This window comes from Homo sapiens, chromosome 8, assembly GCF_000001405.40.
Source record: "Homo sapiens chromosome 8, GRCh38.p14 Primary Assembly".
Taxonomy (NCBI): domain Eukaryota; kingdom Metazoa; phylum Chordata; class Mammalia; order Primates; family Hominidae; genus Homo; species Homo sapiens.
In genome coordinates, this window is record NC_000008.11 from 88164640 (window position 1) to 88183081 (window position 18442).

Consider the following 18442-nt stretch of genomic DNA (forward strand, 5'->3'; position numbering starts at 1 on the left):
CTTCAGGCTCATTCACCAGCAAAGTGTTCTTGTTAGACAGGTAAAGACATAGTTTCCTCCAAATAAAAACTCAAATATTAAACAATTGTTTTGTTTAGATTTTTTGGTCATTCGTCTATGCGTAAAGAATGTTACACTTCCAGAGTTGTTAGGACACATATTTAACATAATCCGGAAGTAGACTGATGAATACTCTCAGCCAAAAGTGCATTGACGTGATTGTCCCCCTTAGGCCACGTTATATTTCAGAATTTCTTCCCACATATACATTCCTTGGAAAAATTCTTAAATCATACAAAACACATAAGCATTCTAAGCACTGATCACACTCAAATCAGTGTAAACATTATCACCTCTTGTCATAAAATCTCCCTGTAGATTTTTTCCCCAAAACATTTTCTTTATTTTCAGAGTGTTGGTTGATGCCTAAAAGCTAGGTAATACTGTAATTCCAGCAACTCAGGAAGTTAAGGTAGGAGGATTGCTTCAGCCCAAGAGTTCAAGTCCAGCCTGGGCAAAATAGCGAGAACCCCATCTCTAAAAAAAAAAAAAAAAAAAAAGAAAGAAAGAAAAAACCCAGCTAATAAAGTGTATAGCTAAAGAATCCATGCAACCTTCTTCATGGAGGACTTCAATATTTTAAGACAAAATATAGGGAATTTGATAGACATTTCTTTCATATAGGATTTTAATAATTTTAAATTTAAGAGGTCACAAAGCCAAATTAACACATCTTCAAAACTACAGATTTACAATTGTTTTAATGATTAGATCCATTATTGCAATAAAATAAATTTTTATCTTTTCAGAATATCAAAAGAAAATCTTTCCCCTGGAAGTAAATGCAGCCTGTGTCAGTAAAATTCTACCATTATAAGTGCTATTCTTAATCAAGCATTTCTTATATTATTTAAAATAATTTTAAAATTGACTTGAAGAAGTCTGAATTATTTCACTAGAATCCCTGTGTGATTTTGAAAAAACAAAACAAACATATTTTATTTTAAATGATTTATGTGTCAAACTGGTATGCCCCAACTACCATGTTCCAGATGTTTTATTATTAGATGCTCAGGTATAGAGTACGTTAAACATGCATGCATAAAAAGCACTTCTACCTACAATGCTTACAGACCTGCAATATAAACTATATGGTAAAAACAAGTCTACACATTTTTGAACTAATAATTAGCCAGCATGTAAACATAAGTCTGTTTGCCTCCAAAGTTTTTGGCTTTTCATTCTATTATACTAAAATCTTCCACTAGTCTTCAAACCTGTTCTTAAAAATGTAATAACAATTTAATAATACAGCACATGCAACTATTAATAACCATTTGAAAAAATCACCTTACTGCTATATACTTTATTTTATTTTGGAAAACATGAACAGTTATTTATTATATTTTTTCTTTGAAATTGATGTTATTTTAAATTTAACTCAACCTAATTTATCCTATCCAAAACACGAGAGAACCCTGGGTATCCTAAAACTGCAAGGCTATTAATTACACTAATCCAGCTAACTGAACCCTCTTATGAACAAACAAAGCTTAATGTCATGACTAGGGTTAACTTATCAAGGTGAAATTAAGAGTTTTATTACATGATTAGTTGTCATTAAAGAAATGTACACTTATAGTTGAATAACATTCTACAATCAGAAGAAAAATAAGTCTTCACAATAAAAACTGGGGATATGGCTATATAGAAATCTTATAATTCTATGATCCTATAACTGCAAATTTTTTAAAACACAGAATTGAATTATGCATTGTTGACTAGGAAGAAACACATGCCTCTTATATTAAGTAACCACTCTCATATTAAGTAACTAAAAGTTATTGAGATTTTTGATTTTTACATAATTTTTGCATATCAGAATAATTGTAAGGATTAGAAAACTGATGGATAGTTAGGATAGAGTTGCAAAAAATGATCTTTGGTAAAAATTAAGATGTAATGAAAATATAATAAATTATATAGTCCCATCAGATTGGGAGACCAATGAAATGGATGAGAGACAAAAGAGAAGGAGCAAAAAATTACATATATATATATATATATATATATATATATATATATATATATTCTTAATTTTAATTTTTTTTAAACAGAGGGAGTTTGTTTAAAAAACAGACCCAGGCTGGTATTGAACTCCTGAGCTCAAGGGATCCCGTCTTGGCCTCTCACAGTGTTGGGATTACAGGTGTGAGCCACTGCGCCCAGCCTGCAAAAATTATAGACTGGAAAGTTAATAATAGAATAGAAACTAGGCTGAATGTGGTGGCTCATGCCTGTAACCCCAGCACTTTGTGACTCCAAGGTGGGTGGATCACCTCGTGAGAGTGGATCACCTCCTGAGAGTTAGAGACCAGCCTGACCAACATGGTGAAACCCCATCTCTACTAAAAATACAAAAATTAGCTGGGCATGGTGGCAGGCACTTGTAATCCCAGCTACTCAGGAGGCTGAGGTAGGAGAATCACTTGAACCGAGGAAGTGGAGGTTGCAGTGAGCTGAAATTGTGCCATTGCACTCCAGCCTGGGCGACAAGAGCAAAACTTCATCTCAAAACAAACAAACAAAAAAGAATAGAAAATAATGTAGAAAAGATATAGTAGAAGCCAGACTGCAGATGCTAATCCGGATTAAATTACAAGTAGAAACATTGGGATAAGATGCAAAAAAAACAGCAGAATTTTCTTAATATGTATTTCATGACTTAAATACTGATTATAAAATCTTTTAAGGAATCACATTGTGAAGAAGACAAAACTTACTTTAGAGTATTTATAGATACAGTATAAGGTTCTAATCTTTAATCAAAGGAACACATATATAACTATATTATCTAATGACCCACACAAATTCTTATCCTAAAATGCTATAAAATATGCTTACATATTGCTTTGGAATTTTAAAAGTAAATTTAGGATCTATACCTTAAGTTTGTAAATTGTTAAATCTCTTGGTTATTCTGAAATAATAATAGAAATATTTACACTGTAAAACAAACATGTACTTACCATCATGATTAGGATTTCCTAGTGTCCATGGCTCATCTGAGTCAAAATGGGTATCTCCTCCAATTCCTGGTCCAGGGAAGTAGGCATGTGCCAAAAATCCTCCCTCTCCATCAAAGGGAGAGCTGTCCCCATGGAAACCAGATGCAAAAATAATGGTTATATCCACATCACGTTTGCCATTTTCTAATTCACTGTAGGGAACTTCTTCAAATGTCAGAGGAGTTACATTCTGCCACACATCAAAGGCACGGCGAATAGCTTTACGAGTCTCAGGGTCTCCTACTTTTGGAGTTACGTTCTTTATACTGAAAGTTAGAAAATATAATCATCAGTATTGTTATGTATAAGCTAACTTAGTACAGGTTTTGATCGATTCAGTTAAGTAAAATATTAGAGAAAATAGTCATATTAAATAGGAATAACACGTATTCATTCCTCTTGTCTCTACTGTTAGATTTCACTACACTGCAATCATTTAATTTTCTTCAGGATAGTATTCATGTACCAAAGTTTTAAATGAGAAGATCTCTGTAGAATGGTTAACAGTAGGGCAATTGGATCAATCAGTTACTTTACCTTCTGAATAAGAAAGAGAAAGGCAGATTTGCCACATGACCAAAGAGGCAAAACAGTTTGGAGCTGAAATAAAAATTTCAATTTTTTCTAGTTATAATTTTTAGAGGCACACCATTGTATTTGCACACATCCATTTCAAACAATGTCTTTATGCTCTTCTTGATCTGTAAATATGAATTCAGCAGATATATAGTTATTTCTTAATTTGTAACGAAATGATCAAAGAACTACAATTTCTGATGTTCTATTGTTTCTTATTAATTCATTCTAGTTAAAAATGTATTGTGAGTAAACAGCTATTTAATACAAAGTTTTCACAATTACGTCAATTTAGTAACTTGGACATTATGTACTTTAGTTTGTCCTGATGCTAATAACAAACACATTAAATCACTATAAATATTGTACTTGATTCATTTGGCACTAAATCAGATGTTTATTTTTTTCTCAGCTTTTTTCTAAACAACAAAAATGGAACTAGTATTTGTATTTTTTTATATTATAGCACTATAAATTCAAAGCATGCATGTGAAAAAAATGGGTAAATTTCATAGGAGTCATAAATAAGTTTCAGATCCCTTCAACCAATAATGTCATATCTATGAACTTACACTAATGAAATATTTTTGATTTTTTTTTTCTTTTTTAGAGATGGATCTGATTGTGTTGCCCTGACTGGCCTTGAACTCTGGCACTCAAGCAATCCTCCCACCTTTGCCTTTCAAGGAGATGGGATTTAGGAAGTAATAACCATGCCCAGCTGATAAATAAAATATTTAATTACAAAAAAGAGGATACCATATTCAGGTGAATATATATTGAAATGCAATCATAAAAGAGAACTGAAACTGAAACAATTTAAAATGATGAAGTGATGGTTAAATTATGGCATCTCTAATGCATGTCATTGTATAAATAGGATTCAAAATTATTTTGCCCTTTTAAGACTTTTTATCAGCATGGAAAAACTTGTAGGATTAACTTTCCAGTGGAAAAAAATAATATGCATATTATATTTTTAACCTGATTCTCTGTCAATACAATTATAAACATTGGGCAGGAATTATATAAACTAATAATAGTATTAATTGAGCATTTACTATGAGCTAGATGAGCACTTCACATTATCTTATTTAACCTTCTGAGTAACTCAATGAGATGGGTATTTATACCTATTTTACCAAAAGCACAGTGGAGATTTATAAGAATTTTAGAGAAAAACCTCTAAGTGGCAGAGCTGGGTTTTCAATCCAAACATTTGGGCTAAAACTCTTTTGCCTTAAATTCTGTGTTAGACCACATATCTAAGATAAATTTTTCACTATTTTCTAATAAATATCTAGATTATATTTACATTGATTATTTGGTGGTAAATATTATTCATTACATAAAAGAAATAAGATAGCAAACCAAGTGGAAACAGAGTGCAGGCAAGGAAGAAGAAATGGCAAGTGAAAGGCATTGAAGTGAAGATATTCTTGGCAGGTTCAAAGAACAGCAAGGCAGCTGGTGTAGTTTGGTCACAGAGAGAGAGCAAGTGTCAGGATATGAGATCAGAAAGTTAGAAGGAGACCAAATAAGGTAGGTCCCCGAAGGCCACTCTAAATAGAGTTTGGCTTTTGCTCTGAGAAATGAAAAACTGGAGCGTCATGAACAGAGACATGACATTTGACTTATGATTTAATAAATGTCTTGAGACATTATGTTGAAAATATATTGACGTAGGGCAAGATTTGAGGCAGGAAGACACATCAGAAACTATTGCAAAAATCCAGGTGAGAGATGATGGTGCTTTGGACCAGGTTGGTACCAGTAGAGATTTTGAGAAGTGGTTGTATTTTGGATATATTTTGAGAATATGTCTCCCAAGATATACCAATGGATTAGACATAGGCTATGAGGAAAAAAGTAAGAGCTGAGGAAGACAGCATTTATTTTTTTGACCTGAGCCAAAGGATGGACAGAGCAAAAGAATTCATGCCTGCTCAGGGAGAAGGCTATGCAATATTTTGTTGCTATTGTTTTGTTAGTTTGTTTTAACTTTATGTGATACTCAGCATGGTGCTATAAACTATATTTTGAGGAAGAATAAACATCTACACTGAGATAGCACAGACATTTGTCTACCTTGCTAGTCTCTAAATTTCTTGTCTAATGGCTAAAGAAGCATGAGAGGTAATGTAACACTGAATTTCGTCTAAATTAATTTTCCTAATAGTCTTTTATTTTCTATGCACCCTATGGGATTTCAGAACTCCCTCATTAGCGGGCTGATATTCCTATGACACATCATTGAAAGAACTTACTACATAATTGGCACTGTTCCAGGTGCCAGAGATACAGCTGTGGGCAAGACTCTGCTCCCACAGTGCTTATATATTCTAGTTATGAGATAAATAATAAACAGAAAAAAAAGATAATTTCAGATGGTGAGGGGGTGAGGAGATGATAAACAGGAGTTCAATGGCAGAAGGAGCCAAAGATGCCTAGCACTGAGTTTCCAGCCAGAGGGAATGGTGAGAACGCCAAACAAACATGGCCAGTTCAAAGAACCAGACTGCTCAGTGAGTTGGAGCAATCACAATCACTGTGTCTGATGGAAAAATGGATGATGGGACAAAAATGGGAGTAATAAAACATTTCAGAAGTTCACATAAGAGAAGATAGAGACTAGGACTTGTGTGATAGCCATGGAGATATGAAGAATTAGTTTCAGTATGTGTTCTGAGAGAATTGTTCATGGGGATTGGTGATGGATTTGATATGTAATGGAGAAATTGATTTTGATTTCAAATAAAGAATAATCTTATAATAGAGAAATGAAATCATGGTAGTATGATTTGTTTCTAAGTACATAATAGTTTTGAGAAAAATGAAGCAAAATAATATAATAAAAATAATGAATGTGGAGTACTATTTGGATTTGACAACACATCGCTGTGTTTTTCAAAGCTATGTACTGATTAGCTTCCAGATATGCTTAACTACATTATATATGATTACCATTAGTAAATACAAGATACCTGTACACCAAACCCTCATCACACGAGTTTACCTCCATAACAAACCTGCACATGCACCCCTGAACATAAAATGAAAGATTACAAAAAAGAGAGTAAAAGGTTATGGATGCTGATGACACTGGGCCTAGGTTGAATCTGGGAAGTCAGTGCCCAGTTTCACATATGAAGGGTGGAGATAAAAAGGATCATTAAGGTTGAAAAACGTGAGCTGAAAGGAAGGTGTATTTTCAATAATAAATCAGAATAAATAGAAACTGACACTGCTTTATTTATCTTCTGGAGGCCCACTTAATTGTGGATTTTGGATAGAATAAAGATAGCTGGTTAAACAAAATATAAAATTCTAAATTAAAAAATAGGAAAAAACATAATTATAGATATTATTTCATTTTTAATAGGTTTTGCTATGTAAAGTTAAAAGGACTGTTCAAAATGGAAATAAGCACTCAGTGGTCTTACTCGAATTAAACAAAGATGGAAAATTCAACAACATTACTTTAGGAAGAAAAAATACTTATTGCTCTTATTTAAATATATATGATGAATTTCAATGATATGATGCATTTTTTTTTTTTTTGAGACGGAGTCTCATTCTGTCACCTAGGCTGGAGTGCAGTGGCACCATCACATCTCACTGAAACCTCCACCTCCTGGGTTCCAGCAATTATCCTGCCTCAGCCTCCCGAGTAGCTGAGATTACAGGCACCCACCAGTACAGCCAGTGAATTTTTGTATTTTTGGTAGAGATGAGGTTTCACCATGTTGGCCAGGCTGGTCTCGAACTCCTGACCTCAGGTCGCCTTGGCCTCCAAAGTGCTGGGATTACAGGCGTGTGCCACCGTGCCCGGCCATATGATGCATTTTTAATTGTGTTCTCAATGATTTGGTAATGTTGAATTAGCAGTATAAATAATGTAAAAGTAGTAACCCCTCATTTTTTTTATGAAAGTTCAGAAAAAATTGTAGTTAAAATTTCCAATTTAGATGATTAAAATTACTAACTTTTTATAACACATACAATGTAGTGGTAATTTAATGATCTCTGACAACACATTTTATGTAGTAAAAAAATAAATAAATACAAGATATACAAGTATGCTTCAAAGTTAGAGCTAGAGTTCTGAACTAGGTGCAAACAAAAACAAGAGTTTAGAAACTTTTATGCCATGTATTTTGTATTTATAACTGAACTGAAGAGAGATGTATTTTGTATTTATTCATAACTGAACTAACAAAGGTCACAGAGTGATCATGAGGTAATAAGATTGCTACTAACAATTCTAATAAAAATGCAGAAATGATTAAATATATTTGCAGAATAAAAGACACTGACTTAAAATGAGTAAAAGTCTGAAAAACTTAATGAAGCTAATTTAATTTTAAAATATTTTTACTGGCCCTTTCTTTTTGTGAAAAGAGTAAAGTGAGTATACTTCTTATTTTAACAGATGATAGATTTCATTTTTTGAAGTATATCTGGCATTTCATCATATTATTTCACTGATTCTTTCAAACTTCCATTTTGGTAAATTTTGGAATTTTAATCTAAAAATTGTTAAATTTTATCTTTAATGACCATGCCTTACACAATCTTACATAACAAAACCAATGTCTTTATAAGTACAAAAGAGTTGAGAAAAGAGAAGCAAAATAATATAATAAAAATAAATGTGAAACAGGATTTAGATTTGGAAATAAAATTGATGTCTTATCATTAGATCAAAACAATTTCATCTAATAACAATTTTACATATTAGTAATGGTTATAACTCTTTAAAGGTTTTTGTTGTTGTTGTGGTTAAGACAGGGTCTCATTCTATCACCCAGGCTGGAGTGCAGTGGCAAGATCACAGCTCACTGCATCCCCTATCTCCCTGGGCTTAAGGTAATCTTCCTGCCTCAGCCTCCCGAGTAGCTGGGACTACAGTTGTGCACCACCACGCCTGGCTAATTTTTATACCTTTTGTAGAGACAGGGTTTTGCCATGTTGCCCAGGATGGTCTTGAATTCCTAGGCTCAAGCGATTCACTCACCTTGGCCTCCCAAAGTGCTGGGATTACAGTTGTGAGCCACCGGTCCCGGCTCTCTTTAAAGTATTTGATACCTTTTTAAAGTATTGTTTGAACCCTAATATTAGAAAAAAAACTCTAAATACTGTGGCATCTAATCAGGTTACAAATATCTCATAATATTATGTCAAAATATTTTTATATAAACAGGGCTAAATCTCCTTTACTCAATTAAATAGATAAAAATTAGTTATTTAGAAAGGCATACTAATGTTTTATGTAAAATGATTATCGGTTAAATAGAATTTACTACAAAAGGGAAAGCAGACAATTGCTAAGAATAAAAGAAGATAAACATAATATAGTTAAATTATTAACATTCCTGAATGTGCTGTAATATTCTATCCAAAGAAAATAAAATAGACCAATTTACTTTTATTCATATTATGCTTGTCTAATTAATGGAGCTTCACAACTTTTTTCTTAAGTATGAGAAATGGTGACAAAATAGAAAGTGAATATGGAGTCCCTCCAGGAAACCTTCCTTACATTAAATATTTGGCTATTTCCCAAGATGCTGGCTTTCTAGGCAGGGCAGACTTAATTAAGTACATATTACATTGGGTGTTGTTTAAGTGGGTTCTGCTTTTTCAGTCTGTTATGTATTCTCTGGAAACACAAGTTGAGTTCTCTTTGAACTCAACAGGATCATCAAGTTCAATGAAGTCTTTGGGTTTAGAGAGAATAATGAAAAATGTTTCTGTGTAGGCATTTAAAAAAAATTACTTAGTAACCTCTTTTCTCTGTATACACTATTAAAGTAAAATAACTTCCAGTGTGTCCTCAGTTGTAACGGAGTCATTCATTTAAAAACAAGCGGAGCTAAAGGATTAATATACTGGAAAAATAGAAACTAATCAATATAGCACTATTATATTAACTAATATATCATAAATACTCATATTCATCTGGCAATTTAGGTATCTGTCCCATTGGCCATTTGTCACACAAAATAACATTTTGGAACTTAGATTTCGAAGAGAAAAAGAACTTACTGTAAGTCCATTTTATTAATATTCAACAATTGGGAAATACAGATCTATTTGATAAAAGTTATATTACTCAATAAGCTTCTATCACTGTCATGAAAAAAAGTTTAACCAAAGCCTGTTTGGAATTAATGAATTTATTCAACAACCAACTTTCCAACCATTACATAAATGCGTACATAGTCTCTAATTTAACCTAAGTGAATACATTTTTGGTTTAAATACTTCCAAAAATGAAGATAACTCATATGATGTATAATTTAATTTTCCAATCATTTAAAACATTAGATTTTTCTGAAAGCCTTTAACAATTTGAGAATAACTGGAAATTTCCCCCTTAAATACACTTGCCATGATGCTGAGAATGCTTAGCTTTAATCTTGAGTTGTTCCACATGCAGACTGCTTTCCAGCTCCCTTACATTTTGACTGCTTTTTTTTTTTTTTTGAGATGGAGTCTCAGTCTCTTGTCCAGGCTGGCGTGCAGTGGCACAATCTCGGCTCACTGCAACCTCTGCCTTCCGGGTTCAAGCAATTCTCCTGCCTAGCCTACTGAGTTGCAGGGATAAAACGCACGCGCCACCACGCCCAGCTAATTTTTGTATTTTTAGTAGAGATGGGGTTTCACCATGTTGGTCAGGCTGGTCTCGAACTCCTGACCTCAAGTGATATGTCCACCTTGGTCTCCCAAAGTGCTAGGATTACAGGTGTGAGCCACTGTGCCTGGCCTTGACTGCTTTTTGAGAGGAGGACATTAATTGTCCAGGAAGCAGCCAAAAAGGTGATGGCCAGAAGAGAAAAGTGTATATTGGGTAAGGCTTGGCCGAAAAAACCAAAGAGAAAAATTAGCATCACCACTGCTTTGTATACCAAAGTAATCCGGTCATTTTAGCTTTTTCTGGGTCACATTATACTGTTGGTTTATAATGAGTTTGCTATCAAATAAAACCTAGATTCCACCACTCTCACCCCAATTCCTGTCTGCATATTGTCAGGGTACAGTTCAGCTATCCTTTTCAGGAATAATTATTTTTTGAGCTTAAATGTCAGATTTTACTTATTAATTTATTTTCTCTAAATACAGTTAGAAAAACAAGAATAGAAAATGATTGTATAATGCTTTCGATACACTAGGCAATTTCTTAACACCTTACATACATTAACTTTAAAGTGCAATATACTTAGCTCTCATTTCTAACTCTCCATAGTCTTGTCAGCGCACTCTCAACCAATTTCTGCAATTTGTCTGGTAAATTAAAAGAAGTAAAGATAATAATTGGCATATATTAAATACTAACCATACTTCAAGCATTATGCTACTTTCATTATTTTTTCCATTATCTTACTTAATTTTCCCTAAGCTTTGTGAGGTAGTGATAGGGTTTGGCTATGTCCCTACCCAAATCTCATTTTGAATTGTAGTTCCCGTAATCCCCATGTGTCCTGGGAGGGACTCCGTGGGAGGTAATTGAATCATGGGGTCAGGTTTTCCTGTGCTGTTCTTGTGATAGTGAATATGTCTCACGAGATCAGATGGTTTTATAAAGGATTGTTATTTTATAAAGAGCACAAGCTCTCTTGCCTGCTGCCATGTAAGTTGTGCCTTTGTTCCTCCTTTGCCTTCTGCCATGATTGTGAGGCCTCCCTAGCCATGTGGAACTGTGAGTCCATTAAACTGTTTTTTCTTTATAAATTACCCAGTCATGAGTATTTCTTTATAGCAGTATGAAAATGGACTAACACAGGTAGTATTGTTACAATATTCACTTTGCACACCGGGACACTAAGATTTAGTGGATCTAAGTAACTTGCAGGTTTTACAGGTTACAAGTGACACAGAGAGCATTCAAACCCAGGTTTTTCCTGCTATAAAACAGACTCTTAACTGATGCTGTGTTTATCAATGACCTGAAAGTTTATAGACACAAACATAATTACTTGTATGCTTAAAACTGGCTGAGGCCATTGTCAGGACAGTAACACAGAATGAGTGAAATTATAATCAGTTCTGAATATAATAGTTCTTAATCCTCCCTCCCTTCCTTTCTTCCTTCCTTTCTTTCATTTAAAGAAAAAGTGTAGTGAGTAAATAAGGATTCAGAGATACTAATTAGGGTACACTGCCAACAGTTTGGAAATCAGGTCAAAAAAGGACAGTATCTAAAATGAAAACAGTGTATCAATATATGGAGCTGTCTAACGTTTACAGCTCTGTAGCTGATTATACATTTTAGTTCCATTACTACTTATTGATTGTTTTTGTATGGTAAGGGGTAGGTATGAACTCACTCTCATTGTTTCTCATACACATAATCAATTATCACAGAATAATTTTGTAGATGAGATAGTGAATCCTTTTCCAATTGATCTATAAAGTCTACTTTGGCATAAATCAATTTTTTATATATACAAGGATCTGTTTCCATGATCTATTGTCTGTATTACTGGCCTATTAATCTATCTTTGTGCTAATACCCAAAACTGCCTTAATTAGTATTGTTTTAAAGTAAGTCTTCATATCTTGTGGGTGGGAACATTTTGATGTTCTCCTTGGCCTTCACTGTTCCTCAGAGATGTTTGATTCAGTGTGTTAAATTATACAAAAAAAGTCTTACTGGGATTTTTGTTGGAATTGCATCGATTTTGTGGAAAAGTCAAACTTTCATTATATTAAGTCTTTCTACTGAAAGCAAAATATATCTCTTCATTTTTTGTTCATCTTCTGTTATGTCCTTCAATAAAAATTCATAATTTTCTCCATAAAAGGTTTATACATCTTTTGTGGATTTATTCTTAGCTCTTATATTTTTGTGTCTATTTTAAATGGTGCCTTTGTAAAGGTTATACACTTGAACTGCTTTTTATGTGGGCACATGTGTGTATATATTTCGTATGTTGGTTTTTTATTAAAAAGACTGATATGGTCTTGCAGTCTCTGCTTCGATATATAAAATGTTTGGAAGTTATCACTTCAAACCTCACAAGAAATAAAACGGAATAAATTGAAATAACTCTTCTTCATTCCATCAAAAAAGTAAGGTCATAGGGCAAAATTCTGCCCCAAAAGTGGAGAGAGGGGCAAATACAGAGACTCACGGTTTATCAAGAGCAAAAGCCTCTGAAGCCAAGAGAAGGAAAAACCCTCAAAGTCCCAGCCTTAGGGGTGGAGGGCGGGGAGAGAGCTCTACACTTTACGTGTTTTACCCCCAGGACCCTCATCAAATTCTTACAGTGAAGATCTGAGAAAGATCCTCTCCTGCTTCCAGCATGGGGAGGAAAAAAAGCAACAATTTTGAAATAATGCCATGAGTATTCTATTCTCCATAATAAACGCCAGTGTTAAAAGAAAACTATTTTATCAAAGCATTATCTGATCTAGCTTAAAGATAATTAGACAGCTCAACCTCCTTTTGCCTTCGTATATTACATAAACGAAGAAAAACAAAAAGCCTAATAGACTTGTCAGAAGGTCACAGCTCAGATACTCAGACCCACTCAAAAGGACTTAATCACAGGATTGCAGATGCTTCCTCTGTACAATATGTTACAGCAAACCAACAGGGCTCCACTATATTATATATATGAGATAGTTTAAAGATGAGATATATATATATGAGATAGTTTAAAGACATGGTATGTATTTAAAGAGGAATTTCTAGAGATATTTAAAGACAGGAGGAGACAAAGAAAAAAAAAAGAACTCTAGAAGAAATTCAGTTACAGCCAACATTAAATACAACCTAACCCCTAACTAGATAAACATAAAAGCTCACATCAAAGGCTTATTACCTCATTTCCTATTACTCAATATCTTCCCACTTTCAACAAAAAATTACAAACAATTCTGTTGCTTGCTTTGCAAAAGGGAAGAGAAAACAGAGGCTGAAGAGATAAAGCAAGCAACAGAACCAGACTCAGATATGGCCAACATTTTGGAAGTTTCAGAATGAGAATTCATAATAACTGATCAATAGGCTAAGGGGTCTAATGAAAAAAGTAGACAACATAAAGAAAACACATGGATAATATAACCAGAAAGATGGCAGCTCTAGAGAAGAATCCAAACAGAAATTAAGAATGCCTTTAATGAGCTGATATTAGATTAAACATGGCAAAGGAAATATGCTGTAAGATATGTCAATAGAAACATCCCAAATTGAAAAAAGAATTGAAATGAATGTCAGATAGATTTAATTTTTATATAGTTGTTTAATTCTTATGTGATTAATAGGTCACTGAAAATTGTGTCTGTTTATTGTTAAGATTTTTCTTACTCACCTTATGTGGCAAGTTCTGCATATCCTCACCTATTTCATGTATTACAGCTTTTATTCTTGTGGGAAAAATTTCTCTTTTTTTAATGTAATAAGTTTATTTTCTATTTTTACCTAATAAAGAGTTCGTGCCAATTTGTAAGCATGTAAAGTTTATTATGCAGTATAACCGCATGTAAATTATTATTTTTATATGTTGCCTTTTCCTTTTTTCTGTATTTCTGGGTGTTATTGGATATTTCACTTTGAATTAAAGAGAGAGCTGGGATAGGACAATATATTGTATCTAATCTCTATCTCACAGAGTGTAATATTAGCTGTGGGTTTTTAGTAAATGCATTGAAGCAGAAAAAAAGAGAATGAAAAAGAGAACGGAATATCCAAGAACTGGAGAGAAAATACACACAATGAAAATACTAGGAGAAGAGAGAAAGAAATATAAGTAATAATGGTTGAGGATGTACCAAAATTAATAGCAGAAACCAAATCATAGATCTGGGAAACTCTGAGAACATGAAACAGTATAAATATAAAAAAAACTATACCTAAGCATATCATATTCAAAGCAGAAAACAAAAGACAAAAAGAAAACTCTGGAAAAAAGCCAGAAGGGGGTAAAATACCTTATCTGTAGATGAACAAAGATACCAATTCTATTAAACCTCTCTTCAAGAACCATGCAAGCAAAAACAAAGGGGCTTGAAATATTCAAGGTTTAAATAATAAAACCACCAACCTAGAAATCTGTATCCAGTGAAACCATCATTTAAAAGTGAGGTGGAAAAGTGACTTTCTTAGACAAATAAAAACTAAAAACACTTATTGTCTACAGAATTGCCTTGCAAAAAAAAAAAGTAAGAGAAGTTCTTCAGAAAGAAGAAAAATGATGCTGATCAGAAATGCATATCTCTTTAAAAAAGAAAGATCATTAGGGAAGGAATAAATGAAAGTAAAATAAAGTATTTTACTATTCTAGTTTTAATTGATCTAACAATAACTTTTCAAAATAATAACAAAAATAATGTATTGGGTTATTATAGCACATGGATAAATAAAATGAATAATGAGAATATTCTAAGGGACAGAAGAATTAAATTAGAAACTCTGTTATATCTGTAATACCTGTGAAGTAGTATAATGTTATGTGAAAGTAGACTTAGATTACTTGCACATGTATATTGCAAGCCCCAAGGTCACCACTTAAAAATAACAGTAAAAAGGAGGACAATTGACAGGCTAAGAGAAAATGAAAACATATAAAATGGTCAACTAAAACCAGAGAAGGCACTGGAAGAGGGGAAGACAAAAACAAGTACAAAAAACCAATAACAACAGCAAATAGTTATATATGTTGTAGGTATTAATACAACTGCATCAATAGTCACTTTAAATGTGAATACTAGGTGGGCGCGGTGGCTCACACGTGCAATCCCAGCACTTTGGGAGGCCGAGGCAGGCGGATCACCTGAGGTTGGGAGTTCGAGACCAGCCTGACCAACATGGAGAAATCCCATCTCTACTAAAAATACAAAATTAGCCTGGCATGGTGGCACACGCCTGTAATCCCAGCTACTCGGGAGGCTGAGGCAGGAGAATCGCTTGAACCTGGGAGGCAGAGGTTGCAGCGAGCTGAGATTGCGCCATTTCACTCCAGCCTGGGCAACAAGAGTGAAACTCCGTCTCAAAAAAAAAAAAGTCAATACTAAATATGCCAATAAAAACAGCACAGAGTAAAAAAAAACAACAAAATTTAACAAAAACAGAAAGCAAGTCCTGCTATATGTTTCCTGCAAGAAACCTGCCTCAAATATGAGGATACAGATAAATTAAAAGTGAAGGTATGGAGAAAGATATATTATCTTTATGCACATTAAAAAAACTAAGCCATATTAATTTAAGATATAGCAGATTTCATAGAAAAGAAAATTATTGGGGATAAAGAGCCATTACATAATGATAAAGGTCTCAATTTTCCAAGAAGATATTACAATACTTAATGTGCAAGTGCCTAACAATATAGCAAGAAAACATGTTACTAAAATTGATAGAACTGCAAAAAAAAATGCATGAGGCACTATTATAATTGGAGACTTCCAATATCCCTCTATTTGATATCAATACCAGATAAAGATACAAAAAAAAGAAAAACTATGGATCAGTAACATTCATGAACACAGATGTAAAAATCCTCAAAAAAGTCAGCAAATCAAATAGAATAATCTATACAAAGAACTGTACATTATGTCAAATTGTGAATTATCCCAGATATGCAAGGCTGATTCAAGATTTGAAAATCTATTAATGTAATATTTCACATCAAAAGGCAAAAGAAGAAAATTCATATTATCATATCAGCAGAGGCAGAAAAAGCATTTGTCAAAATCCAACGCCCATTCACAATATATACTTTTAGCAAACTAAGAATAGAGAGAGACTTCTATTTGATGAACAACATCTAGTAAAGAATCTACAGTTTAAAACACACTTGATGTTGAAGAACTATTCGTATTTTTCCTAAGATCAGAAAAGCCAATGAGTTCCGTTCTTACCACTCCTACTCAACACCATCCTGGAAACATTAGCTAATGTAATGCAACAATAAAAAGAAAAGAAAAGAGACAGATTAGGAAGAAAAAAATACATACAACTGTCTTTGTTTACAGATGATATATCCTCTATTTGAAAAGTACCAATAACAACAAAAAATCTCCTAGACTAATAAGCAATTATAGTAAAGTTGCAGGATACAAGGTTAATATATAAAAGTCAATTGCTTTTCTATCTGCTAACAATAAACAACTCAAATTTGATATGAAAAACATAATACCATTTAAATTAGCACCAGAAAAGTAAAATACTTAGAAATAAATCTATCAAAATATGCATATGAGGAAAAGTATAAAATTTTGATGAAAGAATTCAAAGATCTCAATAAATAGGAAGATATCCATTTCCTAGATGAACTATATTTTATATATTTAATATATAATATTTATGTTATTTCCAAGATGAACTATAGATACAATGCAAGCAAAACTCATGGCAAGTTATTTTGTGTGAATCAACAAACTATTATGTTTATATTGAAAGGCAAGAGACTCCAAATACCCAGCAGAATACTTAAGAAAATAAACACAATCAGACAACAGAAACTACCTGATAGTAAGACTTACTATAAAATCAGAGTAATCAACATAGGGTGATATTGGATTAATAACAAATACATATATCAAAGGAACAAAGGAAAGTGCCCAAAAATTGATCACCACAAATAGAGTCAACTGAGCAAAGGCAATACAATGGAGAAAGAATGATCTTTTCAACAAATGGTGTTAGAACAACTGGACATTCACAAGTAAAAGAAGTGAATCTAGACACAGACTTTATACACTCTCAAACATTTATTCAAAAGAAATCAGAGACCCAAATGCAAAACATAAAACTACTAAACATCTAGAATACAACATAAGAGAAAATCTAGGGACTTTGGGTTTAATGATGATTTTTAACATACAACGCCAAAAGCACAATACGAGAAGGAAAGAAAATGCTAAGTTGGACATTATTAAAATTACACTTCTGCTCTGAAAAAGACATTTTAAAGAGAATAAAAAGACAAGCCACAGATATGAAGAAAGTATTTGGAAACAGAACTGATGAAAGACTAATATACACAATATACAGAAAATCTTAAAACAAGCAAGTCAGTTAAAAATTGATAGATCTCAACAGACACCTCGCCAAAGAAGATACAGAGATGGTAGGTAAATAAGCATATGAAAAGTTGCATCTTATGTCATCAGGGAATTGCAAATTAAAACAATCTATATCAATAAAATTGCTTATCTTAATAAACATAATTGATTTACAATAATTGTTTTATCTCAATTATTTTATCTCAAAAAATATCACTAACTCTTATTAGAATAACTACAACTGAATACACTGACAACACCATATGCTGGGGGTGGGGCTTGTAGGTCTACAGTATCTCTCATTTACTGCTGGTAATAATGCAAAATGGCATAACCATGTCAGAAGACAGTTTGACAGTTTCTTACAAAGCTAACCGTAGTCTTATCATATGATCAGCAATGACACTCCTTGATATTTATCCAAATGAGTTAAAAATTTATGCCTACACAAAAACATGAACACAAATGTGTATACTGGCCTTCTTCATAATTTCCCCAAACTGGAATCAACCAAGATGGCTTCAATAAGTGAATGAATAAATATACAATGGCACATTTATACAATGGATTATTGTTCAGCAATAAAAAATGAGCTATCAAGTTATGAAAAATGTTAAGGAACCTTACGAGCCTATTGCCAAGTGAAAGAAGCCAGTCTGAAAAAAAGCTACATTCTCTATAGTTCCAACTATATGACATTCTAGAAAAGGCAAAACGATGGAGACATTAAAAAAAAAATCCAGTGCTGGCCAGGGCTTTTGGAAGAGGAGAGAAGGGATAAATAGGTG

The 18442-nt window shown here is 33.0% G+C and overlaps 1 protein-coding gene across 1 annotated transcript in view; it reads right to left on the minus strand.

Annotated features, from left to right (window-relative positions):
• MMP16 (matrix metallopeptidase 16) overlaps nt 1–18442 on the minus strand; it is a 295473-nt gene that overhangs the window by 132629 nt on the left and 144402 nt on the right. Inside the window, exon 4 of the mRNA NM_005941.5 lies at nt 3030–3334. Coding sequence (NP_005932.2) covers nt 3030–3334 — 305 coding nt within the window. The remainder of the gene's footprint in view (nt 1–3029; nt 3335–18442) is intronic.